This window comes from Homo sapiens, chromosome 22, assembly GCF_000001405.40.
Source record: "Homo sapiens chromosome 22, GRCh38.p14 Primary Assembly".
Classification (NCBI taxonomy): Eukaryota; Metazoa; Chordata; class Mammalia; order Primates; family Hominidae; genus Homo; species Homo sapiens.
In genome coordinates, this window is record NC_000022.11 from 40,374,808 (window position 1) to 40,401,793 (window position 26,986).

The window sequence follows — 26,986 nt, forward strand, 5'->3', positions numbered from 1 at the left end:
TCAGGAGGTCGAAGTTGCAGCCAGCCATGTTTGTACCACTGCACTCCAGCCTGGGGAAGAGAATGAGACCTTGCCTCAAACAAACACATTGTACCAGTACTATCAGTAGTAGCATATGACTGAAATAACAAGGCTAGATTTTCAGTGTGGCTTATGAACTGATTTTGACAGCACCATTGTTTGAATGCTACATATATAATCACCTCCCCTTTTTGAAAATTTAGGCTTACTAATTTATGCTCACCATTTATACATGAGGAGAGATACATTCACCTCTTTTCAGTAGGCACAGTTAACTATTAACTGTCTCTTCTAATATATGCCTCTTTTGCAGTGATAAACATATTTCTGCTTTTTCTAAGTGTGATACATGTTTTGTATTTGTTTTTCTCTCTACTAATGATGTAAATTGTTTTGGGAGGTTAACTGCTTTGGAATAATTAAACAGCTTTATCAACAAGAGTAACTGATATCAGAAATTAGATTGATAGGCCGGTTGTGGTGGCTCACGCCTGTAATCCCAGTGCTTTGGGAGGCCGAGGTAGGCGGATCACCTAAGGTCAGGAGTTTGAGACTAGCCTGGACAACATGGTAAAACCCTGCCTCTACTAAAAATACAAAAATTAGCTGGGTGTGGTGGCAGGCGCCTGTAATCCCAGCTATTCGGGAGGCTGAGGCAGGAGAATCACTTGAACCTGGGAGGCATAGGTTGCAGTGAGCCGAGATCATGTCATTGCACTCCAGCCTGGGTGACAAGAGTGAAACTCTGTCTCAAAAAAAAAAAAAGAGATTGACACCCCCAATTCAGTGTCAAAAGTCTTATCTTGGAAAGGGTATAATTTCCAATTAAGACAGAGAATTTTTTTTTTTTCACTACAACAAAATTATGTGACTTTTCTCACCCTTCTCTAGATATCTAATTAGCCTGCAAGCTAACACTCTAAAGACATGAAACAGGCTGGGCTTATGTCTGTAATCCCAGCACTTTGGGAGGCTGAGGTGGAAGGATCACTGAAGCCCAGGAGGTCAAGACCAGCCTGGGCAACATGGTGAGACCCTGCCTCTACAAAAAAATTTCTAAAAATTAACCAGATATGGTGGCGTGTGCTTGTGGTCCCACCTACTCAGGATGCTGAGGCAAGAGGATCACTTGAGCTCAGGAGATTGAAGCTGTAGTGAGCTGTGATCACACCACACACCACACACTCCAGCCTGGGTGACAAAGGGAGACCCTGTCTCAAAAAACTGGAAAAAAAAAAACAAGATATGAAAGAACAGATCATTTCCCTTTTCCCTCTCTTGTGTTTGAGTTTCGTTTGTAAATATCCTTAATTATGTGACTTGAGGATAGGGTTAAAGTCAAATTACCACTTTTTTTTTTTTTTTTTTTTTTTTTTTTTTTTGTCTTTTGGAAACAGTACGGTAGTCGGAGCACCAACAATGAAGTTCAACTTACGGCTCTGCTGCTTGCTTCCTTGCTTGTCTGCTTGCTTGATTGATTGACAGGGTTTTGCTCTGTTGCCCAGGTTGGAGTGCAGTGGCATGATCATAGCTCACTGAAACCTCAAACTCCTGGGCTCAAGAGGTCCTCCTGCTTTAATCTCATGAGTTGCTGTGATTACAGGTGCATGCCACTGCACCCGGCCTGGCTTTACCATTGTAAACTTCGAGAACTTACAAGTTATCTGTCATGCCTCATTTCTCTCACCTGCAAAAATGGAATAATTAGTGCTACTCATAGTAATAGCTAATATGTATTAGGTGTTTGCTATATATACCAGTCACAGTTCTAAGAATTTTATTTGTATTAACTCACAATCCTCACATCAACCCTATGTATTGCTAGTATTATGCCCATTTACAGGTGAGACAACAGTGACAGAAACAGTAATTTGCTAAAGATTGGTGGAGTCAGGATTAGAACTTAGTCTGACTCTAGAGTTTATGCTCATAATCTCCACCTTCATAGTTTTTTGTTTTTTTTAATTTAGCATATAATCAAGAAATAGAGTAGTTTTGAAGATTAAATAAAATCTATATAAAATGGCTGTGACAAGCATTTACGGTATTAAGTACTACAGTTAGCTTCGAGTTTACAAAGCATTTTGCACACATTTTCTTTGATTGTCATAGGAATAACCAAATATGCTTGTGACCATCACTGTCCGGCAGGAAACAGGCACACATTTGGTCACTTTCCCAGTCATGCAGCATGTGTGCAGACAGTGCCCTGGTGTTGCTCCTCCATATCTAGATCATGTGGAATTTGAAGCATCACATTTTGAGAAAATTTAGTAGACATAAGTTGTTTTGGCCTGTCCAGCATCCAATCCAGGTTCTTCTGGGGATAACAGCTCAATTTTGCTTTGGAGAACAGTTCATCCCTGACCAACTAGGTGGTAGGCACATGGCCCAGGTCAGGCCAACAGATGTTAGGCAAATAGATGCTTTCCTCCTTTAATTTGAATCTTAGGTTGAATGACACAGTAACAAAAGTTCAATAAACAGTTGCAGCTCCTTCATCACAACCACAGGCTAATTCCTAATATCTGGGCACTAGAGCTGCTGTTGTTTTCAACGAGCTGAGTCTTCAGCTTTTCCTTGGTTTTATGTCCTACTACATATCCTTCCAATACATTCCTGTCTTTCATAACTTAAGTTACCCAAAGTCAGTTTTGGTGGCTTGCAGCTGAGACACCTTTAACTTTTACATGGCATGAGGTCATGTCATGTAAGAGTTAAAATAGGCCTGGTGTCGTGGCTCACGCCTGTAATCCCAGCCCTCTGGGAGGCCAAGGCAGGCGGATCCATTGGGCTAAGGAGTTTGAGACCCGCCTGGGCAACATAATGGGAACCTGTCTCTACAAAAAAAAACTTTAAAAATTATAAATAGCTGGGCATGGTGGCATGTGCCTGTAGTCCCAGCTACTTGGGAGGCTGAGGTGGGAAGATTACTTGAGCTTGGGAGGTCAAGGCTGCAGTGAGCTGTGATCGTGCCACTGTACGCCAGCCTGGGTGACAGAGCAAGACCCTGTCTCAAAAAAAAAAAAAAAAAAGTTAAAATAATCAGCTAACTTTAACCTGAAGAGGAGAGAAATCTTGGAGAAGATGTGGGTATCTTCAAATGTCTGAAGTATGTAGAATACAAAGTACCCCTAAAAAGACCAAAGAGTAGATATTACTAGCAAACAGATTTCTGCCCACGTTAAAGCCTAAGGCAGGGCTATCCACAGGTGACAGACTGTCTTGGTATGTGGAAATAGATACATCCACTAAATTGTTCAAGCCAAGACAAGATGGTCACCTGGGAGGAGTAATATGGGTTTAGTAATCTAATGGGGACTGGGTGTGGTGGCTCATGCCTGTAATTCCACTGCTTTGGGAGGCTGAGGCAGGATGATCGCTTGAGGCCAAGAGTTTGAGACTACCCTGGGCAACATAGCAAGACCAGCATCTCTACAAAAAAATAAGAAAAATTAGCCAGGCATGATGGTGTGTGCCTGTAGTCCTAGCTACTTGGGAGACTGGGGTGAGAGGATTGAGCCCAACAGTTTGAGGTTATAGTGAGCTGGAATAGTGCCACTGCATTCCAGCCTGGGTGACACAGCAAGACCCTGTGTATATTAAAAATAATAATATGGCCGGGCACGGTGGCTGATGCCTGTCATCCTAGCACTTTGGGAGGCTAAGGCGGGCAGATCACTTGAAGGTGGGAGTTCGAGACCAACCTGGCCTACATGGCGAAACCCCATCTCTACTACCAAAAATACAAAAAATTAGCCGGGTGTGGTGGCGCATGCCTGTAATCCCATCTACCAGGAAGCTGAGGCAGAAGAGGAACCCAGGAGGCGGAGGTTGCAGTGAGCTGAGATCACACACTGCACTCCAGCCTGGGTGACAGAGCGAGACTCTGTCTCAAAAAAAAACAGAACAAAACCAATAATAATAATCTAATGGGTTGTTGTACTGAATGAACTGTAAAGTTCTCTCCAATTCTGAGATCGTGATTCTCTGATTGAAATCTAAATCTGCAGACTCCGAGACCTAGAGTTCTTTTTAGAAGATTTACCTGCTTTTCCTCACTTTTCCAACCTAGTCTCTTATATTCCCGCTTCACCACCTATGTGCTGCTCTTTGTTTCGGACCTCTGCTTCCATCAGCTCCTCACCTTCTTCAGGTGTTTGCTCAGATTTTTCTTACTGAGCCTTCCCTGACTACCTAATTTAGAATAGCAGCTCCTGAAAGTGCCTATGGTTCTTCCTGCCTCATTTTACTCTGTAGCACTATTCATCTGACATACAGTGTGGTCTCTTATTAATTTTTTAAGTTACTTCTTTCCCCTCTAGAATGCTGGGACTTTCAAAGAAGGGATTTCTATCTATTTTGAGCACTTCTGTGTTCCCGACACTTAAAACAGTGCCTGGTACATAATAGGCACTCAATAAACATATGTTGATTGAATGAGTATTTCCTCAACACAAAGTCACCATTGGGTCTGCTTTGTGTTCTAGGAGAATATCTAGCTCATGCTGTCCACTTCGTACCTTTTCTCTGTTGCTTCCCTTACTCGCTGGTGCCTTTCTCTTTTCCTCTTCTCTTTGGATCACAGCATTTCAAGACTAGAAGTCTGAGATCACCTCTTCATAAGGACCAGAGTCCCTGTGTAACACAGCTAGTTAATGAAAGATGTGGGGTGGAGGGTGACTGACTGTTGGATTGTTTATCTCTGTTAAACTGTGGTCTCCCTAAGTCTTGCTCAGTTCAGGCCCGTGCAGTGCCTGCTGCAGCATATGCATATCCCTCAGTGAGTTATTAAGTAAATATCTTCCTCCTTCATGAAGGCTTTTCCATATCAACCTGTAGTTATCTCTTTATTTCTTTGAACTTTGGTAGTATTTGTGGTCTCTGTTCTTATTATTAAGGCAGGGTCTCACTTTGTCACCCAGGCTGGAATGCAGTGGCACAATCTCCACTCACTGCAACCTCCACCTCCCAGGCCCAAGCAATCCTCCCACCTCAGCTTCCTGAGTAATCTGGGACTACAGATTTGCACCACCACGCCCAGCTAATTTTTGTATTTTTTTGTAGAGATTGGGTTTCGTCATGTTGCCCAGGGTGGTCTCAAACTCCTGGGCTCAAGTGATCCACCCTCCTCGGCCTCCTAAAGTGCTGGGATTATAGGTGTGAGCCATCGTGCTCGGCCTGGTTTCTCTTATTAACTGGCCTTGGGTTGTTTGCCATTTTATGTGTCTGTCTGGTCAATGAAATTATAATCCCATGGACAAAGACTAAATGTACCTACTACAGAACCTAGTCCTGAGAGGCAGTATAAAGTAGTGAAGTGCTGTCCAAGAGAACTTTATACAGTGCTGGAAATGTTCTTGTATGACTATTAACATTTTTTTAATGCTGTGTGTGTATTTGTATGTGTGTGTGATTAAGTAATTACACTTATCTGCACCACCCAGGAATAATCAGTAAACATTCTGGCATTTATTTCTTTATTCATCTATTAATTGTACATTTTCTAGCTTTTTTTAACCATGAATATCTATAATTTTTTTTTTTTTTTTTCCTGAGACAGGGTCTCACTCTGTCACCCAGGCTGGAGTGCAGTGGCACTATCTCAGCTCACTGTAACCTCCGCCTCCCGGGTTCAAGCAATTCTCCCACCTCAGCATCCCGAGTAGTTGGGATTAGAGGCATGCCCCATGACACCTGGCTAATTCTTGTATTTCTAATAGAGATGGGTTTTCACCATGTTGGCCAGGCTGGTCTCGAACTCCTGACCTCAAGTGATCATTACAGGCGTGAGTCACTGTGCCCAGCCTATAACTTTATAATCATAAAAACAGGCCTGGCTCACACCTGTAATCCCAGCACTTTGGGAGGCCAAGGTAGGATGACTGATTGAGCCCAGGAATTTAAGACCAGCCTGGGCAACATAGTAAGACCCTCTCTACAACAGTAACAAAAAATTAGCAGGGCGTGGTGGTGTGTGCCTGTAGTCCTAACTCCTTGGGAGGCTGAGGTGGGAGGATTGCTTGAGCCTGGGAGGTCGAGGCTGCAGTGAGCTGTGATCACACCACTTCCCTCCAGCCTGGACAACAGAGCAAGACCCTGCTCAAAAATAAATTAATAAATTAAAAATACAAGTTGCTGCAGCTTCTATTTTTGTAAATTGTATTTTCCCCCATTGATTCACATAATATAAGCAATGTTTTAGCATGATAATGGTTTAGCATGATATTGGGAAGAACGAAGTAATTAGGAAAGGTTATAGAAACATTTTACTAGTCTATATAAGCCATCAGAAAAGAGGTACACGCTTTTCTTTTTTTTTCTTTTTCTTTTTTTTGAGACAGGGCCTCATTCTGTTGCCCAGGTTGGAGTGAAGTGGTATGATTTTGGCTCATTGCAACCTCCACCTCCAGGGCTCAGGCAGTCCTCCCACCTGAGCCTCCCAAGTAGCTGGGACTACAGGTGTGCACCACCACACTCAGCTAATTTTTTAAATTTTTTGTAGTGATGAAGCCTCACTATGTTGCCGAGGCTGGTCTCAAACTCTTGGGCTCAAGTGATCCTTCTGCCTTGGCCTTCCAAAGTGCTGGGATAAGAGGAATGAGCCACCATGCCCGGCTACAAGGCATTTTAACGATGCAAGATAGTGCATTTAGGAACTGGAAATACAAACTGAAGTATTATATTATTACTCCAAATTTAAAAGGTAAATCTAGAAGCTAAATAACTGGAGTCCTTTAGTTTCTGGAAAAGAACAAATGATAAATAAGCATGAGAGCCCTTTATTACTCCCCAACATGTATGTAAACTATTGTGCAATTTGTTGTAAGTTAATAATTCTTGGGGCCGGGCGTAGTGGTTCACACCAGTAATACCAGCACTTTGGGAGGCCAAGGTGGGAGGATTCCTTGAGGCCAAGAGTTCAAGACTGGCCTGAGCAACATGGCAAAACCCTGTCTTTACCAAAAATATATACAAAAAACTAGCCAGGCATGGTGGTATATGCCTTAGTCCCAGCTACTCAGGAGGCTGGGGTGGAAGGATGGTTTGAGCCCAGGAGGCAGAAGTTGCAGTGAGCCAAGATTCGCGCCACTGCACTCCAGCCTGGCAGACAAAGTCAGACGCTGTCTCAAATAATAATTCTTATTTTATATTACAGATTTGTCTTTCTATCAGATCAGAATAAAAGCTCCACAGAGACAGGATTTTGTTTTGTTCACTGTCCTGTCTAGGATCTAGCCTAGGGTGTGACACAGAGTAAGCACTCATGATGTGAAATGAGAGAATAAGAGTGGTGCCTGCCATGTGAGGTCAGGATAAGTTTAGGACTCATCAATCTGAAAAAGTAAGAGTTGAGAGGAGACTGAAATTTAAAATGGCATTATGTTAACAGCTACAACATAGCACCAGTTCTTCCATTTATCTATTGCTGTTTACTGATCACTCCAGAATTTAGCAGCTTAAAGCAACAATAATCATTTTATTACTATCTCTTGCTGGGGGATTGGTTGTTGGTAGGTAGTTTTTCCTGGGGTATCTCAAGCAGTTGCAGCTAGGTGGGACTGGAGTCATGTCTAAAGTTTCCTTAGATGTCTTGGGGTTGATGGTGGCTGTCAGCTGGGTCCCACCTGGGACTGTTGGCCGGAGCACCTATATGTGACCTCTCCATGTTACCTTACCTACCTCACAGCATGGCAGGTGTGTTCTAAGAGCTAACCTCCCAAGGGAACAAGGTGAAAATGCATGACATTTTTATGACATAACCTCAGAAGCTACACAATATCACCATATTCTCTTGGTTAAGGGAGTCACAGAGGTTTGCCTGGGTTCACGGGGAGTGGATGGGACGTAGACCCCACCATTCAATGGGAGAAGTTTCGTCACATTTGAAGAAGAGCATGTGTGAGATACGTTATATTGTGTTAGCCCATTTTTGGAAAATAGGATCTCCATGCCAAGCATGTGATAGGGGTTTTAAGAACTTTTTCACTTATTCTGCAGGTACCTATTATCCTAATTTTACTGATAGGGAAGCTGAGGTTAGGGAAGATGAATTGGCCACACAGCCAAGTGGCAGAACAAGTTGTCAGGCCCAGGCCTTCTTGCTTCCACAGTAACACTGTATAAAGGTGAAGGTAGATTTCTTCAGAAAGTCCTGAAATACTATGGAAGGTTTATTTGTGTAGGTCATAAAACAGGTAATTAAATATCTCATGAAACAGGCGATTACTACTTCAAACATTTATTAAATCCCTAAGTACTGTAGTAGGTGCTAATGAGGATTCAGCCCTTGAAGAGCTTTCAGTTTATAGATAAGGCACCTACACTAGTAAAGTGAGATAGAAGTCAGTAGGAACGGCCGGGTGCAGTGGCTCACACCTGTAATCCCAGCACTTTGGGAGGCCGAGGCGGGCAGATCACGAGGTCAGGAGATCAAGACCATCCTGGCCAACACGGTGAAACCCCATCTCTACTAAAAATATAAAAAATTAGCCCGGCGTGGTGGCAGGTGCCTGTATTCCCAGCTACTCGGGAGGCTAAGGCAGGAGAATGGCGTGAACCTGGGAGGTGGAGCTCGCAGTGAGCCGAGATCACGCCACTGCACTCCACCCTTGGCGACAGAGCGAGACTCTGTCTCAAAAAAAAAAAAAAAAAGTCAGTAGGAACAAGTAAATGTTGAGAGGAAGTACTAAGGAAAGCTTCACAGAAGTGGTGTTTCAGAGCTAAGCACTGAAAGAGGGATGGAATCTGGATATTTGGAAATGGAAGGTGGCCTTCTTAGCAGAGGACACAATATAAATAAAGGCACAGAGGCATGTTGAGACAGTAGTGAGGGGCCCAGTTGGCTAAAGCTTAGGGTACATGAAGGGAAAATAAGAGCTGACTCAAAAAGAGATTGGGGTCTATGGAATCAGAGCTGTGCTTCAGGGGATATTAACCTACTCTTTGTTTAACATAAACGGAATGATAATCTGGAGACACAGAAATCTTTAGGAGATTTTGACAGTGGCCCAGAAAAGTGGCAGGGAGGGTCTGGATTAAGGCAGTGGAAATGGAGATGGAGATGCTAGAGGTATTTTAGAGGTAAAATCAGTAGACTTGCAACTGATTTGATATGAGAGTAAAAGCAGGAGCCAAGGCCAGGCATCATGGCTCATGCCTGTAATCCTAACACTTTGGGAGGCCAAAGTGGGAGGATTGCTTGAGTGCAGGAGTTCAAGACCTTCCTGGGCAAGATAGTAGGACCTTGTCTCTAAAAATAAAAATTAGCAAGTCATGATGGCATGCGCCCGTAGTCCTAGCTACTCAGGAGGCTGAGGAGAGATGATTGCTTGAGCCTGGGAAGTCAAGGCTGCAGTGAGTCATGATCCCACCACTGCACTCAATTTGGGCAACAGAACAAAACCCTGTCTCTAACAACAACAACAACGACAAAAAAAAAGGAGCCAAAAATTACCCTAAACCTTAGGATCTGAATGTCTTGGGAGAAGAAACAGGAATATTAAAAAGAATCATCTGAGATAGAATAAAAATAGATTTATTCAGGAAACACAGATTTTAAGCCAGGCACAGTGGTGTGCAGCTGTATTCCAGTCTGGATAACATAGGGAGACCCCCATCTCCAATAAATAAACAAAAATTAAAAAAAAATTAAAAAGAAATACATATTGGCCAGGTGCGGTGGCTCACGCCTGTAATCCCAGCACTTTGGAAGGCCAAGGTGGGCGGATCACGAGGTCAGGAGATCGAGACCATCCTGGCTAACACGGTGAAACCCTGTCTCTACTAAAAATACAAAAAATTAGCTGGGCATGGTGGCGGGCGCCTGTAGTCCCAGCTACTCAGGAGGCTAAGGCGGGAGAATGGGCATGGATCTGGGAGGCGGAGTTTGCAGTAAGCTGAGATAGCGCCATTGCACTCCAGCCTGGGCGACAGAGCAAGACTCCACCTCAAAAAAAAAGAAATACATATTTTAATGTGTTGTGGTATATAGTCAAATGAAGCTATCCAACAATAAGTTGGAAATAATCTATGTTGTCATGGCTAGAGATAGAGATTTGTAATTTATATGACAGTAATAGCTAAATCCCCATTCAGAATAGGGATGGACTCCCCATTTGGAATCCATTAGGAATGGACTAAAAGAAAGAAGACTGATGTGGGGAATGTCTTTTTTGGGGGTCTGGAGAAAGAAGAGGCAGTAAAGAAGCAGTTAAATAGAGAAGAAAAAACAATATGGTCTGTGCCCTCAGAGTCATTGAACAGTTCAAGAAACCAAAGTAAGTCAGCAGAGTCTGATGCTTCAGGGAGTTTCAGGAAATGAAGCCATAGGAACTGGATTCCAAATAATGACTAGGAAATCACTGGAGACCTTAGAAACCAGTTTAGGTGGTGACAGAAGCTAGGGTGAAAAGCTTAAGGAGTGAGTTGATTGATGAAGCATGGGCGCTTTTAAAAAGTATGGCAGTGAGGCAGAGGGATAAGAGCTAGAAAGGTAACAGCTTGAGTGGGTACAGGGATAGTTGCTTTGTTTTGTTTTGTTTAATTCAGGGTTCAGGAGATCTAAGTATTTGCAGTGGACACGAAGCCATTGGAGAAGAAAAGACTGAAGATGCACAAAGGAAAAGAGTATAAAGGAAATGGGTTGAAAGGTTCTCGTGGGTGGAGAATTTAACGTAGGAAGGAAGAAAACCACTTTCTCTTCTGAGAGGGCGGGCAGAAAGAGCAAACAGGTGAAAAGCCGTTTTGACACGGAGAATAAGGAAGTTGAGGAAGCTTAAGTCTAATAAGCTGAGCTTCGTTAAAGCTGGAGTACAGTCCCTCAGCTGGGGGTGAGTGGCAGCAGAGAGTAGTTGGGTTTCAGAAGAATTATGAGAATGATTTGAAAGTATCGCTGAAGGAAATATGATGAAAAGTCAACTAGAGATGAATGAAGGTTGCTGAGCAACCGTGAAGATAAATAGCATGTGGCTTGTTCCCTAACTTTGTCCAGGAGGAACATGAGCAGAAAGAGCAGAGGAACAACTTTTTTTTTTCTTGAAGACCGGGTCTCACTCTGGTTGCCCAGGCTGGAGTGCAGTGGTGCAACCTCAGCCCACTGCAGCGTCGACCTCCCGGGCCCAGGCGATTCTCCTATCTCAACTTCCCAGGTAGCTGGGACTACAGGCGCACGCCACCATGCCCGGCTAATTTTTTGTTTTTTTTTTTGTTTTTTTTGTTTTTCTATTTTTAGTAGAGACAGGGTTTTGCCATGTTGCCCAGGCTGGTCTTGAACTCCTGCACTCAAGCAATCCATCTGCCTTGGCCTCCCAGAGTGCTGGGATCACAAATGTGAGCCACCACCTCTCCCAGCCAAGAGGAACTTAAATGGGGCTAGATGAGGCAAAAAGTTGTCATTAATTCATGGTTAGTTCAGATGGTTGTCTAACTTTTACAACATGGGAGTGAAGTGTATGGACCTGATTGTTGAAATCAGCATTATTAAGTGTGAAATAATATAAAGATATGGACTGCTTAACCCTAAGGTTCACAACAGTAAGAGGACAACCTCGTGACGTATCTTCTGGGATTTCTGTTGGTAATGATGCTGATCTGAATGTAATCCAATGGGCCTGTCTCTAGCTGTTTCCAAGTTTTTGATTCAGTTTCAGATTAAAGTAGTAGAAATCAGAGACTTCTGGTCTGGCTATGCTGCTTTAAATCAGTCTTTTGACCTCTAGTCCAATTTTCTTACTTTTTTTTTTTTTTTTTTTTTTTTTTTAATAAAAAGACAACTAGAGATCAGGTCTCGCTATGTTGCCCAGGCTGGTCTTGAACTCCTGGCCTCAAGCAGTCCTCTTGTCTCAATCTCCCAAAGTGTTCGGGTTACATATGTGAGCCAGTGTGCCTGGCCCCTAGTTTCTTTTTTCAAAAAGTATGAGAGATGAACCCAAAGGATCCTTCTAACTCTATAATTCATGACTTTGTGTGAGTCCCTTTGCCCTGCACCCCAGTACTAAAGAAGTTAATGGTCTCTAAATATAGGTGCAGATCTGTTAGAGAAGTTGGTTTGCTCTTATGAGAATTCTCTCCTAATTTATCTGTTTAATTTTGAATTTTCACACACAAAAAATTTTTTTTAGTTGCTTTGTGTCTTAAATCTGGCTGGCTCCCACTAGATATGTCATCCCAAGTCAAGATATTTTGTTCCCGCACATGCACAGATAGTTCCATGATCTTTTCTGGAAACTGTCTGCAAAGTTGATAACTAGAGTTGTGCTAGTCAGTATGGTATAGTGAGACTGCTGAGGGGTCAGTCCTTTGCTGAGGTGTAAAATGGGGATAATGCCTGTGAGTGTGCTTAGCAGTGTGATGAATGCTTAACACATATTATTTTTCCTTCTTTCATAGGTTTCCTTCTGATACCTCCGTCTACTCACTGCCACAGAGTATAATAGCATATATACTCTATAATACTGTATATAGTGTAGTATAATTACCATTCTTTAGGGTAATGTTATGTAGGTATGTTCATATCTGCAAATGAAACATTTCCGGTAATTATATAGATGGTAATGGCAAATAAATGATGTAAAGATGAGATAGTTTGTTGACCTGTGTAGTTTAATTATATGAAAAATAGCAACTGTGTAAACTATATTTATGATCTCCTCTTAGGTGCCCTAATCTCCTATGTTAATATAAAACTTTCAATATAAATGTCTCAGTGGCCTTCTTTGCCAGTCAGCCCTTAAGGAGCTTTATTTTCCTCAAAAACTCTTGTCTGCTATTTTTCAGAGCTACCTGAAAGCTGAGTTGCAGTTAGCTAACTAGTATTTATTTCACTTCTACTTCTGGGGGAGGTGGTTATCCCCCACCCCTGGTAGTGGGAATGACAGAAGGTCCATGAAGTTGCTTTCCTTATCCTTTCCGGAAACTGCCAGGCCATAAATATTAGAGGAATGATCGAGGGAGGGACTCAGGTAAGTAACCAGATTACTGTGGATGATTGATTATTTGATATGAGGAACTAGAGGAGCCTGGCACAGTTATGAGTGTGAGCAAGTCCGCGTAGGGCAGCTGAGTTTAACTGGTACTCCTGTGCAGGAAGGGGACACGCATACCTTGTGTGCTGAATTCTAGGGTGAGGTTCCTGTTTCCCTGATATATGTTTCCAGTCTGTGTTCTCCCTTACACAGTCACACCTCAGTCTCGCCTAAAGGAACACTCTATCTCTGTCACAAAGAAAATATTGACTCAGGGAAGGGTAAGCAGACCCAGCTGCAAACCTTGTAGCAGGAGTGGAGTTCAAGGTAGAGTGTGATTCTTAGACTTACTTTGCTCTTCTGCTGATGCCAGTTTTGGAGGAGGCAGCTGAGAAATTTGTATGATACTATGGATGTTCACCTCAGATGTCCTTGTCATAAAGGGTGATATAAATGATCAACAAAAATTACTAGGGTAACCGGAGGGGGAGTCAGTTCTAGAAGTTCTGTGCCACTAGCTCCTTCATCGTGGAGTTTGGTAGGGTCCAGGTTTCAAGGCTGTCTTTACATATTGCTGAGTAATTGCTGTATTTAGCAGCATTCTGAGAGAACACAGGTGGGTTCCAAGATAACGTTGCCAAAGCATAAAGTGCATTGGAGGCAAGTGCGAGGCAGGTGTTCAGAGATGAGGCTGCAGGGAGTAGCAGGGGCTGCTAGGTCATGCAGGGTCTTATAAATCAAGTTAACAAATTTGGACTTTAAAGCAAAGGGAAGGTTTTAAAGATGGGAGGGAAATGATCAGTTGTATTTTGAAAGAATTTCTGTGGCTGCAGGGTAGAGAGTGGTTGGAGGGAGGGGCCGAGAGTGGAGGCAGAGATTCCAGTTGAGAGATGTATAATAATCATGATGGTGAAAAGCGACGGCAGCCTCAACTAGAAAGTAGCAACAGGTTGTAAGAGAAAGGGGAGGTTTCAAAAACTTTAGGAAAGGCCGAATAGTTGAGGGGTGAAGATGGAAAGGTGAAGAATCCATTAAACATCATCCCCAAGTCCTGCCTGGAGAGAGTGGGTAGGTAGGTCGTAATGGCAACGGGACCACTGAAGGGGAGGACCAGGTTCATGAGGAAAGGTGATGAGTTAACTTGGAGCGTGGCAAATTCGAAGAATATGGAGGAGCTGCCCACCAGCTGGATGTGCTGGTCTGAGGTTGAGAGAGAAATGCATCTTGGAGCTAGAAATCAGTTATCTGCTTGTAGATGTTAATTGAAGTTGTGAGAGTCATCCAGGAGTTCCAGGAGAGTGCAGAGAGCTAGAGGAGAGTCGAAGGCGCAACATTAAGGCATCTGAAGAACAGGCATATAGGAGGAGGAACTGGAAAAGGAGACTAAGAAGGAGCCAGAAAGCCAGGAGGAAAACCAAAGGATCATGACACATAGACACCCAGAGAGACTGTGTGTTAAGGAGGGGAAGTGATTACACAGCTAAATGCTACTGAGTGGTCAGGTGTGGTAAGAACTGCAGTGCAGGCCGGGCGCGGTGGCTCACGCCTGTAATCCCAGCGCTTTGGGAGGCCGAGGCGGGCGGATCACGAGGTCAGGAGATCCCGACCATCCCGGCTAACACGGTGAAACCCCGTCTCTACTAAAAATACAAAAAATTAGCCGGGCGTGGTGGCGGGCGCCTGTAGTCCCAGCTACTCCGGAGGCTGAGGCAGGAGAATGGCGTGAACCTGGGAGGCGGGGCTTGCAGTGAGCTGAGATCGGGCCACTGCACTCCAGCCTGGGCCACAGTGCAAGACTCCGTCTCAGAAAAAAAAAAAAAAAAAAAAAAAAGGGCCGGGCGCGGTGGCTCACGCCTGTAATCCCAGCACTTTGGGAGGCCGAGGTGGGCGGATCACCTGAGGTCAGGAGTTCGAGACCAGCCTCAACATGGAGAAACCCCGTCTCTACTAAAAATACAAAATTAGCTGGATGTGGTGCTGCATGCCTGTAATTCCAGCTACTCGGGAGGCTGAGGCAGGAGAATTGCCTGAACCTGGGAGGCGGAAGTTGCAGTGAGCCAGGATCGCGCCATTGCACTCCAGCCTGGGCAACAAGAGGGAAACTCCGTCTCAAAAAAAAAAAGAAAAAAAAAAAAAAAAGAACTGCAGTGTAGTCATTAGATTTAATGAACTTCATCTGTGCTAGATTGACTCTTTAGACCCAGCACACACTGAGGACACTAATAAAGCAGATATGTGAAATAAAGAGAAAACAGAACTCATTGGCCATTTCACAGATACGGAACAAGTCATCTAGGGAAAAAAATCTAAACTTTGTAGAAGTTCCTCATACTCATTTCATTTTTATGTTGAATTAAATGTGGGGCACCCTAATGTCTCTTGCTCTGTGATTCTCTAAAGGTCTTTAAAATTGTTTTCATGTTTTTGTTTGCATAGGTGGTAACACGGTTCAAAATGAAAAAGGTACAGAACGAGTATGAAGTAAAAGTCTCCCTGCCACCTAGTTCCCCCAACATGTAGCCTTTATTTTATATGAAAATTTCTCCCCTTTTTAACAAGTATTTTCACATTCTTCTCACTCTCCTTTTTTTACTTAGCCCCTGTCAGTGACAGCTGCACACCATTTTATTCTATAGATATACTGTAATTAAACAGTCCTGTATCAGTGGGTATTGAGGTTTCCTAATATTTTGCCATCTGGTATTTTGTTCTCAAAACCAGTGCTATAGGGAGTTACGTTGTATATAGGTCATTTTGCTGGCATGTAGGATAAATTTCCAGAAGCGGGAATTGCTGGGCCAAAGAACCTCTGAAGGATTTAATTCAGTTCTGTTTATTTGAGTCCCTGGCACTTAGCATGCAATGAATGGTAGCTATTAGTAAGATATGTATAGATGGGTTTGTTGGGGGCCCAGAGGAATAGGGGCACCTAACACAAACTAAAGGCAGAGAGAGTATCAAATAAGGCTTCTTAGAGGAGGCAATGCTTCAGCTGTGCCTTGAAGAATAAGTCAGGTAAAGAGGAGGGCATTATGAGCAGGGGGAGCAGTAGAGAGCCAAGGCACAGGAAAAGAGCGTGTTGTACATCGGGACCTTCTAAGAGTTTGCTGTGCTTATTCATCAAACAGTCAGCCCCTGCCACATGTCAGGCACTGGGCTAGGTACCGGACATAGGACAGATACACATGTACATAAATTATAGTATCACATGAAATCAACAGCAGCATGTACAATGATTAATTCTGTTGGGGAAGGAGGTAGGGGACATGGAAGTTGGAAAGAAAGGCTTGTTAGAGGAGGCCACATCTGAGCTAGAATTTGAAAGAATAATGGTCAAAGAGGAATTCAGGTCAGTGGTTCTCAAAGTGTGTTCCCTGGACCAAAAGCATCCGCATCACCTGGGAGAGGCAGAGTCTCAGGTCCTACTCACACCTGCTGAGTCAGAAATTCGGGGGCTGGGCCTCAGCTGTCTGGGTTTTAGGAAGCCCTCCAGGTGATTCTGATACACTCTGTATTTTGAGAACCACTGATCAACTGGGTGTGTTGACTCACGTCTATAATCCCAGCACTTTGGGAGGCTAAGGCAGGAGGATGCCTTGAGCCCAGGAGTTTGAGACCAGCCTAGGCAACATAGTGAGACCCGGTCTCTACAAAAAAATAAAAGAAAATTAGCCTGGTGTGGTGGTGCACACCTGTAGTCCCAGCTACTCAGGAGGCTGAGATGGGAGGATTGCTTGAGCCTGGGAGTTCAAGGCTGCAGTGAGCTCTGATCATTCCTCTGCACTCCAGCCTGGGCAACAGAGTGAAACCCTATCTCAAAACACACCACAAAAAGTTGTGTTCGTGTAATTACAAGACTCAAAAGAAGAGTCCAGAGCTTCCTTTGCCATGATTAGCCTATTGACTATGTTTATAATCCAGAGATTTCCTTTGCCCTGAAATTTATCCTGCTAGAACTTAAGTTTGTCATTTTGTTTGCATCTTACTGTATTCTCAGTAGAAAAGAATGGTCCTGTGAGCATTTGTGCAGAGTGCCCAGAAGTGCTTCTGAGCCTTGGGCTCTGACAGCCAGTGTCTCACCCAAACCCAGCTCTGGCTGGGCCTGGGAACCAAATGCCTGGGCTGTGGCGAAAACTCAGGAGACGTGGGGGTATATCTGTAAAAGCAGATTCGTAAATAGCTTTTTTCCCCCTTAGAGCCTGTTTTGCAAATTGCTGCACTTTTCCTTGTTTGTAAGTATCTCTTTTCCTTTAAACTGCTTTTAGTGGCTTTTGCTTTTGGAAAAGTATTTTATTAATACTTCATTATAATAGGGAGCAACTGCAACCCATGTGAAGAGGGACACCTGGGGATTTTATTTCGCCTTAAAAACAATCAACCAAAACCAGTGGGTTGGAAACCTGAGTTTCAAAGTATTGTCAGTTTTTTTTTTTCCAGTGATTATTCCAGTAATTACTTAGACTATGGCAGGGGAAGGGGGCTTGTTAGAGGAACTTGAAAAATTACAGGCTTTTTTTTTTTTTCAGCAGCTTAGGAAGTTCCTGACTTCACAGGTTGCTAAGATGTCAAACTCATGCAGAGCTGTGTTAGGAAATTGTTAGTTACAAATGAGAGAGAAGGGGATCCTTTTCACAGTTATGGATAAGCTATTTCTAATTGTTTATACTTTCTTTTCTTTCCTTGGTTTTGTATAAGCATTAAATCTCAGCAGAGGTGGATATTTAAGGTGGTGAGTAGTAGCAGCTCTGCAGGGGAAGAGAAAGGCAAGATGGGGAGAAGCTAATTCACTGTTCTCAGTACTCAGCTTCACTGGTGGTCCTCAGAAAAAAGTCAACCTTCTTACTCTAATGTTCTAATACTTAAACTGTAATTATTTTTAAAATTGAGATATAATTCATATACCATAAAATTTACCCTTTTAAAGTGTATAATTTACCAGTTTTTCGTACATTCACTATGTTGTGCAACCATCATCAGTATCTAATTCCAGAACATCTACATTAGCCCAAAAGAAAACTCCGTTACTCATTAGCAGTCATTTCCTATCTGCCCTTCCCTCAGCCCCTGGCAACCATTCATCTACTTTCAGTCTTTATGGATTTGCCTATGTTGGACATTTCATATAAATGGAATCATACAGTATGCAGCCCCTTGTGACTGGCTTCTTTCACTGAGCATAATATTTTCAAGGTTCATTCATGTTGTAGCACATATCAGTATTTCATTCCTTTTATGGATGAATAATATAGTTCATTGTCTGCGTAAGCTACATTTTGTTTATCCATCAATTGATGGACTTTGGATTCTTCTCACCTTTTGACTATTTTACTTTTTTCTTTTTTGAGACAGAGTCTCACTTTGTTGCCAGGCTGGAGTGCAGTGGCGCGATCGTGGCTCACTGCAACCTCCGCCTCCCAGATTCAAGCAATTCTCCCGCCTCGGCCTCCCAAATAGCTGGGACTAAGAGGCGCGTGCCACCACGCCCAGCTAATTTTTGTATTTTTAGTAGAGATGGGGTTTCACCACGTTGGCCAGGCTGGTCGCAAACTCCTGACCTCAGGTGATCCGCCTGCCTTGGGTCACCCAAAGAGCTGGGATTATAGGCGTGAGCCACTGTGCCAGGCCTATACATTTTTAAATGGTTGAAGTCATATACTGTCTTCATGCTGATGATTCCACTTTTCTTCTGTTCCTTCTTCAACCCACTCCAGTTGGACCTTCACCTTGACCATTAAAATTAAAAGCTCTTTTCAGGATCACAAACAACCTTCAGCTTGCTAAGCCAAGGACCAGTTCTCTGTCCTCACATTGAGTGACACGGATGATCACCCACTCCTTGTCTTAGTTTGTTTTGTGCTGCTGTAACAGAATATGCTGGGTCATTTTTAAAGAACAGAAGTTTATTTCTCACAGTTTGGGAGGCTCGGAAGTCCAAGCGTTTGTTGAGGGCCTTCTTGCTGCATCCTAATATGGCAGAAGGGCAAGAGAGCCAACTCCTTCCGTCAAGCCCCTTTAGGAGGGGACCTAATCCCATTGATGTGGGAGGAGGCTTCATGGCCTCATCATCTCTTAAAGGTTCCAGCTCTTAATACTATCACATTGGCAACACCTGAATTTTGGAGGGGACACATTAAAACCAAAGCACTCTTTCTAGAAATACTCACTTCTGTTGGTTTCCACAACACAACACACTATTCGTTTTCCTTCTGTTTCATTGGCCAGTTCCCAAATTTTGTTTCCTGCCTCCTTTTCTGCCTAACTTCTAAATGTTGGAGTGTTTTAGGATTTGGTCCTAGGCTCCCTGCTCTGCATTCCCTCCTTGGCAATGACATCTAGTTCTGCGCTATGCTGATGTTTCCAACGTTTACATTTCTAGTTCTGACATCTGTGAACTCCGTGCTTGTAAGGTGCAAACTTGACATCTCCACTTAGGAGTCTGATCGGCCTCCCAGTGTAACATGGCCAAAGCAGAACTCTTGATTTCTAACCCCAAAATCTGCTCTTTCAGCAGGCTTCCCTTGTCTTAGTTGATGGGACCTGCACAGTTGCTCAGGTCCAAGAACTTGGAGACTGGCCAGGCATGATGGCTCACGCCTATAATCCCAGCCCTTTGGGAGGCTGAGGCGGGTGGATCACGAGGTCAGGAGTTCGAGACCAGCCTGGCCAACATAGTGAAACCCCATCTCTACTAAAAATACAAAAATTAGCCGGGTGCGGTGGTGGGCACCTGTAATCCCAGCTACTTGGGAGGCTGAGGCAGGAAAATCGCTTGAACCCGGGAGGTGGAGGTTGCAGTGAGTGAGATTGTGCCACTGCACTCTAGCCTGGGTGACAGAGTAAGACTCCTGTCTCAAAAAAAAAAAAAAAAAAAAAATTCCAGTTTTTGCCATGGCTAGAAGGGCCATCTGTCAGCTAGTTCCTGCCTCCTTTTCCAACGTTATCTGCTACTTTCCCCCTCATCACTACTCTTCTAGATCTTCACAGACCTGATCGTTATTCTCATGTGAGCTGAAAAGTCATTTCCTGAGAGAGGCCTTCCCCAACCACCAATTAAAAATAACCCCTCCACTCCTACCTGCCACTTTGTAACCTATTGTTCTGTTTTCTTCATGGCATGTATTATTATTCTGAAATTATTTACATATTTATTGTCTGTTTTCTGTAACTAATAATAACTGGCATTTATTAAGCACATGCCACGTGCTGAATATTGTTACAAGTACTACATTTTCTCACTTAACCTCATAAGTAGTATAGGTATTATTTCCATTTTACAGAAGAAATTGCAGGTTCATGAAAGCAAGAACTTTGTCCATCTTGTTTTACTGCTATATCTCTAACACATGGAACAGTGTTTGGGATATAGTAGTTGCAAAAAATTTTTTTTGTTGGTTGGATAGATGAATGAAAAACTCCCAAATTGACGTTTCTACCTCTGACATCTCCCCATAAACATAGATTTATAGATGTAATCACCTACTTAACAGCTCCACTTGGATTTCTAAATAAGCATTTAAATTACCCCATAACTCTTTTTTTTTTTTTTTAGACAGGATCTCACTCTGTCGCCCAGGCTGGAGTGCAGTGGCACGATCTCAGCTCACCGCAACCTCCACCTCCCAGGCTGAACCAATTCTCCTGCTTCAGCCTCCCAAGTAGCTGGGATTATAGGTGCCTGCCACCACGCCCAGCTAATTTTTGTAATTTTAGTGGAGACGGGGTTTCACCATGTTGGCCAGGTTGGTCTCGAACTCCTGACCTCAGGTGATCTGCCCATCTCGGGCTCCCAAACTGCTGGGATTACAGGTATGAGCCACTGTGCCCAGCCCCTGCCCCGTAACTCTTAACTTCTTAACTTCCCCCCTCCCCAAACCTGTTTTGTTCCCATTTCTCTCATATTAGGAAATGGCATCATCATAAGCCCAGGAGTACAGACTGGAAACCTAGGCCTTGCCTGTGGCCACTCCCATTCTCATTCCCCACATCCAACTCTGCGGCAAGGCCTGTTGATTCTACCTCTGATTGTGTCTTGAATCTGTTGCTTCTCTTTTTCTCCACTGTCACTTCAGCCTCATTCTCCGTAATCTTTCCTCTGCACGCCACACTTGCCTGCAAGCATCCACTCTTGTCTCTCTACAAGCTATTTGCCCACGTAGCAGCCAGATTGGAGCCACGTACATTTTAGAGGTGTGCTGAAGAATAGGCGCCAAGGAGAAAAACCAGGAAGAAAACCAGTATTTGGTACCCTTACCTTGAAAAAGGTATTCATATATTTTTTCCTTTTCTAAAAAATGTTCATGTTTCTTTGAGCATTTATTGTCTGATTTTACCCCTTTTTAGCATCTATAGAAGCCACATTAATCTTTTTTTACTCCAGCCTTTCTTGGACTTTCCCGGCTTTGTGCTTCTCTATCTAGGTGAGTTTTTATCGATAGCTTCAAGTGTCCTCTTCCCCTCCTCACAGAGGAAATGCAGTCTTCAGCATCTGAGAGGCCTCTTAGAAGTATTTTTGCTCAGGCCGGGTGCGGTGGCTCACACCTGTAATCCCAGCACTTTGGGAGGCCGAGGCGGGTGGCTCACTTGAGGTCAGAAGTTTGAGACCAGCCTGGCCAACACGGCGAAACCCCAACTCTACTAAAAATACAAAAAATTAGCCAGGCGTGGTGGCACATGCCTGTGATCCCAGCTACCTGGGAGGCTGAGGCAGGAGAATCGCTTGAACCTGGGAGGTGGAGGTTGCAGTGAGCTGAGATTGCGCCACTGCACTCCAGCCTGGGCGACAGAGTGAGACTCTGTCTCAAAAAAAAAAAAAAAAAAAAAAAAGAAGTATTTTTGCTTATGTTGCTTACAGCTTTCATGTTCCATGGTAAATGTCTGTAGAAAACCATCTCTGTAGTAGTAGCAACTATGCTGTGTTGTTAAGAAAATAGGACACAGGACAGGACAGGAGGACCAGAGTGAATGGGGGGCCATATCCCTCTGATCTATATGAAGAGACCACAGGAAATGGACAGAACCTTTTCTGCCCCTCCCCATAGATGGGGGAAAACAGGGTGTATAGTAAGATCTGACCTTCTGTGCTTTTTAAACAAAATTTGCCTTATAGGAAATTGTAAGATTAGCAAACTAGGGAGTATGTACATTTAATTTTGAAAAATTCTTTCTAGAGCTCCTCAAAGGTTCCTAAATCAATCCTGTTTTTCAACTTTCTGCCTCTCAGTACTCCTGTGACAACAGGAGGGCAGCCACCCTGACGTGGCTAACTCTCTGGGCTGTTCCTGCCAACTCCCAGATGGCTGCTTTCAGGAAGGTTTCCATAGCGACCAGAGGCAGGAAAAACCTGCCCACCCAGCTTAACAATTCACATCCGGCTGGGCTTTATAGCCAGTGGGAGAAGTGGCGTGTTTATATATACTTATATACATTACATACATTTATATGTGTGTGTAGCATTAAAGAGCTCAACCCTGCAGACTCTATATCCAGAATCTGGCTGGGTGTGGTGGCTCACACCTGTAATCACAGCACTTTGGGAGGCTGAGGCAGGAGGATCACTTAAGCTCAGGAATTCAAGACCAGCCTGGGCAACATAGAGGGACCTTGTCTCTAAAAAAAAAAATATGATAAAATATATCCATAATCTGACCATTTCTCAGTGTTCCCACCATAGGAAAGTCAACATACCTTTCACCCTGACTAATCCAACAGCCTCCTCTATGTCCACCACCACCTCTGCAAGACAGCCAGAGAGGGCTCAGAGCCCTCCCCTACTTTCCCAGCTCACTGAGAATGAAGCCCAGAATCCACCACACTGTGAGGCCTCGTAGTCCCCTGCTGTGTCTTCTCCCACCATTCAGGCTGTTTCCTCCCACTCTTTCCTTCTCATTCCCCAGCCCCTCCAGCCTGCTGGCTGCCTTGCAGCTGTTTCAGCATGCCCAGTGTGCTCCCAACTTGGGGCTGCTTCTCCCTGGATCTCCTTTCCCTCAGGTAGCCATGAGCCCTCAGTTCCTTTTGGTCTTTGCTCAGGTGTCCCTAACCCATATTCTAAAGAGCTTCTCCTGAACACTTGATATAAATCCCCTCTCTTCTGATAGTCTCCACACCTTGACCTTTATTTTTCCTCACAGCATTGTAGTTATCACAATCTATTTCTGTGTTTATCATCCAATTCTGTCTTTTTTTTTTTTTTTTTTTTTTGAGATGGAGTCTCTGTCACCAGGCTGGAATGCAGTGGCGCCATCTCAACTCACTGCAACCTCTGCCTCCTGGGTTCAAGTGATTCTCCTGCCTCGGCCTCCCGAGTAGCTGGGACTACAGGCACACGCCACCACGCCCAGCTAATTTTTGTATTTTTAGTAGGACAGGGTTTCACCATGTTGGCCAGGATGGTCTCAATCTCCCGACCTCAGGTGATCCACCCACCTCGGCCTCCCAAAGTGCTGGGATTACAGGCGTGAGCCACCGGGCCCAGCCTGTCATCTGATTCTCTAATGTAAGGGTCAGGACTTTTTCCCCCACTGTTGTGTCCCAGCTCTTAGAAGCTGCCTGGCTCTTAGGGGTGCTCAGTCCCCATTTGCTGATGAATGAATGAGTGGGAGGACAGCCAAGATCAGGAAAGGGGAGGGACTCCTGAGTGGGCCTTCCCAGCCCCTTCAGGCCTCCACAGCCAGATGTAGCTGATTTCTCTGCTACAAGCAGCCTGCAGGTGCTCTGTCACACTTTTACTCTGCCCTTTCAGAACCACCAACCAAACCCCTGCCTCTGGGGCCGATGGTGATGAGGAGTCTTTCTCATGCTCTCAACTGGGACATGTTATGTGGAACCATACACAGTTGTCATTTTTCTAGGCTGTAATGGATGAATATCGGCAATTTAATATGGTTCAACATAGTTTTTAGTATACCTCAATGAGGAGGGTCCATATATTAACAATAACTTTCTAAAAATTTTTAGGACTACTAATTGCCTGATACTTATTGAGTACTTATATGTGTCAGGCAGTGTGCTAAAGGCCTTATTTGCATCAGCTCACGTAATCCTCATAACCACAGTAAGGCATAGGTATTATTATTCCATTCTATCGAAAAGAAAACTGATACAGACGTGAAGTAAACTTGCCCACGGTTATAACAAGTGGGCACAGGCCCACTCTGCTACACGAGTAGCAGAGCTAGGATTGGACTGGAGATGTCTTTACTTTTTTTTTTTGAGACAGAGTCTCACTCTGTCACCCAGGCTGGAGGGCAGTGGTGCGATCTTGGCTCACTGCAACCTCTGCCTCCCGGGTTCAAGCAATTCTTGTGCCTCAGCCTCTCAAGTAGCTGCGATTACAGGGATGCATCACCATGCCTGGCTAATTTTTTTGTATTTTTAGTAGAGACAGGGTTTCACCATGGTGGCCAAGCTGGTCTCAAACTCCTGGCCTCAAGTGATCCGCCCACCTCAGCCTCCCAAAGTGCTGGGATTACAGGCGTGAGCCACCGCGCCCAGCCAAGATGTCTTTACTTTTAATCATGGTGCAGAGGATGAGCGCTGAGCCCACTCCCTCCCAAAGCTGACACGTGGTTGTTCTGCCACAGCCATTTGCCATCTCAGGCTCCAAGCCAGCAGGAGGCGTAATAGAGCACTGGGTTCCATTCCCAGGGCCATCTAGCTGGTGGCCATGTGTCCGTCATTTCACAGGGTGGGGTTACATGGTGTGGCAGGGCAAAGTTTTGGGAGTCCATTTGGAAACTATCAGTCTCTCCTAGGCTTATTTTCTGTTGTGTAAGGAATGAATGTGTTGTAAGGATTGAATGATGACATGACATGCTTTTTAAAATTTCTAGCTCAGTCTCTTTAATGTAAAAATATGTAATCATCCAGCTCATAGTTCTGAGGGAAACCCTATATCACATATATTTTACACTGAAGGAAGACATTAAAATTCCATTCTCTTCACACAGAACCAACCAACCAGGATGGCTGGCCTGTTGGGGAAGCAGGTTCTGCCATCTGGTTCTCAGCAGGCATGTCTGGAAGCAGGAGGGAGCGTCTCTCCCATTTGGGTACCAAAGCCTCTGTAACAGTCAGGAATGTTCTGCTGTGGCCTTTATCCTAAACTTGGCTTGGCCAGTGTGTGTCTGGGGCAGGAGCAGAGGCCGGGACACAGCTGAGCTGCCCACAGGAGCTATTTTTGCCCCCACACTTGTATGTCTTTAAAGAGAACTGGGATTTTCTCACAGCTCCTTTGAAGTGGTGGTTTGATTTTCCTCTTTTTTGCTTCTCACTTACCTAATTCTTCCCGATTTATCTAGAATTCCCAACACCAGAATTCCATGGCAGATAGCATGGAGAATAGGTTCTGTTATGGACCAGGATAACAACTGTCATTTCTGAATTCTCATTGTGTGAAAAATGGCAAAAGTAAATTTTTCTTCAGTGCCAGGTTTAGGTAAATATGATTTCAAAAACCGGAATGTAACTTGTCTTGAAATCTTTCAACCACATCTCCTCGTTGTCACCTACTTCCTTTCGTAGAGTGAGAGCCTTTAATTCTGTGGTTAGAAGTAAAAGGAAGTAAAGGCTTGGCCGGGCGCGGTGGCTCATGCTTGTAATCCCAGCACTTTGGGAGGCCGAGGCCGGCGGGATCACGAGGTCAGGAGTTCGAGACCAGCCTGGCCAATATGGTGAAACCCCGTCTCTACTAAAAAGACAAAAATCAGCCGGGTGTGGTGGTGCAACCCTGTAGTCCCAGCTACTCGGGAGGCCGAGGCAGAAGAATCTCTTGAACCCAGGAGGCAGAGGTTGCAGTGAGCTGAGATTGCACCACTGCACTCCAGCCTGAGGTGACCAAGCGAGACTCTGTCTAAAAAAAAATAAAAATAAAAATAGAATGACTTTCCTCTTTTCTCTTCTAACAGGGCAGATGATTCTGGACCAGATGAAGCCTGAGGAGCCTTCCAGCTCTAAGATAGCAGGATAGGAGACTTCTAAGATTGGAGCTGCAGAAGACTTGCCAGCCCACCAGCACAATGTCAGGTAGAGGCAGGGGCTGGACTTGGAAACGGGGTTTGAAGCTCTCACAGAGGAGCCAGAGGGATGGAAGGTGGCTTGTTTTCCATAAAACACCATCCAGATAAGAGAGGTGGAGATGGTAGGGAAGGCTTCTGGCTGGCTGAGAAAGTTATTAAAACTTCCTTCTCAGCTCTGCTCTCTAGCTCTCCTCCTCCAGCTCTCCAACCCGCAGATCTGCAGTCCTCAGGTGGAGAAAGAGGCCGGAAGATGAAGTTTGGTCATGTTTTGTAATGTGCTGCTGTTTCTTTCCCCTCTTCTCCAGAAATTTGCTGATTTCTAGGAGGTTTCTTTCACTCTGCTCCTTCCCTACCCAGCACGCTTGAGATGGGCCAGTCCCTTTAATGCTGGTGCTCTTAGAGGGAGAGGGTATTTCCTGATTTGAATTTTGCCTCTGCATTTTCTATTTTTTTTTTATTTTTTTGAGGCAGAGTTTCGCTCTTGTTGCCCAGGCTGGAGCGCAATGGCACGATCCTTGCTCACTGCAACCTCCGCTTCTTGGGTTCAAGCTATTCTCCTGCCTCCCGAGTAGCTGGGATTACAGGCATGTGCCACCACGCCCAGCTAATTTTGTATTTTTAGTAGAGATGGGTTTCTCCATGTTGGCCAGGCTGGTCTCAAACTCCTGACCTCAGGTGATCTGCCCACCTCGGCCTCCCAAAGTACTGAGATTACAGGCGTGAGCCACTGCGCCTGGCCTGCCTCTGCATTTTCTTGATTGTTCTCCTGGTCCTCTTTGGTTTTAGGAAGCCATACACCTGCCTGTGGCCCTTTCTCAGCCCTGACTCCGAGCATATGGCCCCAGGAGATCTTGGCCAAGTACACGCAGGTATAGCAGTTAGCCAGGCACCAGCCTGCTGTGCTCCCACGCTGTGGTATGAAGGGGACCCAGCTCTGCAGGCTGCCCAGGAAGAGGTGGCCAACTCACACAGGGTTATGAGTTCCCC

General features: G+C 44.5%; 2 protein-coding genes across 19 annotated transcripts in view, besides 2 other annotated features; both read left to right on the forward strand.

Moving 5' to 3' along the window:
• Nucleotides 1–12,720, forward strand: part of ADSL (adenylosuccinate lyase) — a 41,028-nt gene extending 28,308 nt beyond the window's left edge. The window contains exon 14 of the mRNA NM_001363840.3: nt 12,412–12,720. Within this exon, the coding sequence (NP_001350769.1) occupies nt 12,412–12,423 (12 nt within the window). The 3' untranslated portion in view covers nt 12,424–12,720. The remainder of the gene's footprint in view (nt 1–12,411) is intronic.
• Nucleotides 1–26,986, forward strand: part of SGSM3 (small G protein signaling modulator 3) — a 39,696-nt gene that overhangs the window by 4,214 nt on the left and 8,496 nt on the right. For 10 of the 18 annotated variants that reach the window (NR_146415.2, NR_146413.2, NM_001350048.2 and 7 more), the window contains exon 2: nt 25,889–26,006. Coding sequence is in view for 4 of the 18 variants with exons in the window: in NM_001350039.2 (NP_001336968.1) it covers nt 26,000–26,006; nt 26,786–26,868 (90 nt within the window). In the remaining 14 variants the exon portion in view is untranslated. Of the gene's footprint in view, nt 1–25,888; nt 26,007–26,785; nt 26,869–26,986 lie in introns of all 18 variants that reach the window. The other 8 variants (NR_146412.2, NR_146414.2, NM_001350039.2 and 5 more) reach the window with 1 other exon arrangement.
• Nucleotides 23,468–23,527: an enhancer, noted in NCBI's record as "active region_19085". NCBI's record gives its function as "activates an Ori minimal core promoter by ATAC-STARR-seq in GM12878 lymphoblastoid cells {active_cell/tissue: GM12878}" and the evidence as "EXISTENCE:reporter gene assay evidence [ECO:0000049][PMID:35858748]".
• Nucleotides 24,108–24,207: an enhancer, noted in NCBI's record as "active region_19086". NCBI's record gives its function as "activates an Ori minimal core promoter by ATAC-STARR-seq in GM12878 lymphoblastoid cells {active_cell/tissue: GM12878}" and the evidence as "EXISTENCE:reporter gene assay evidence [ECO:0000049][PMID:35858748]".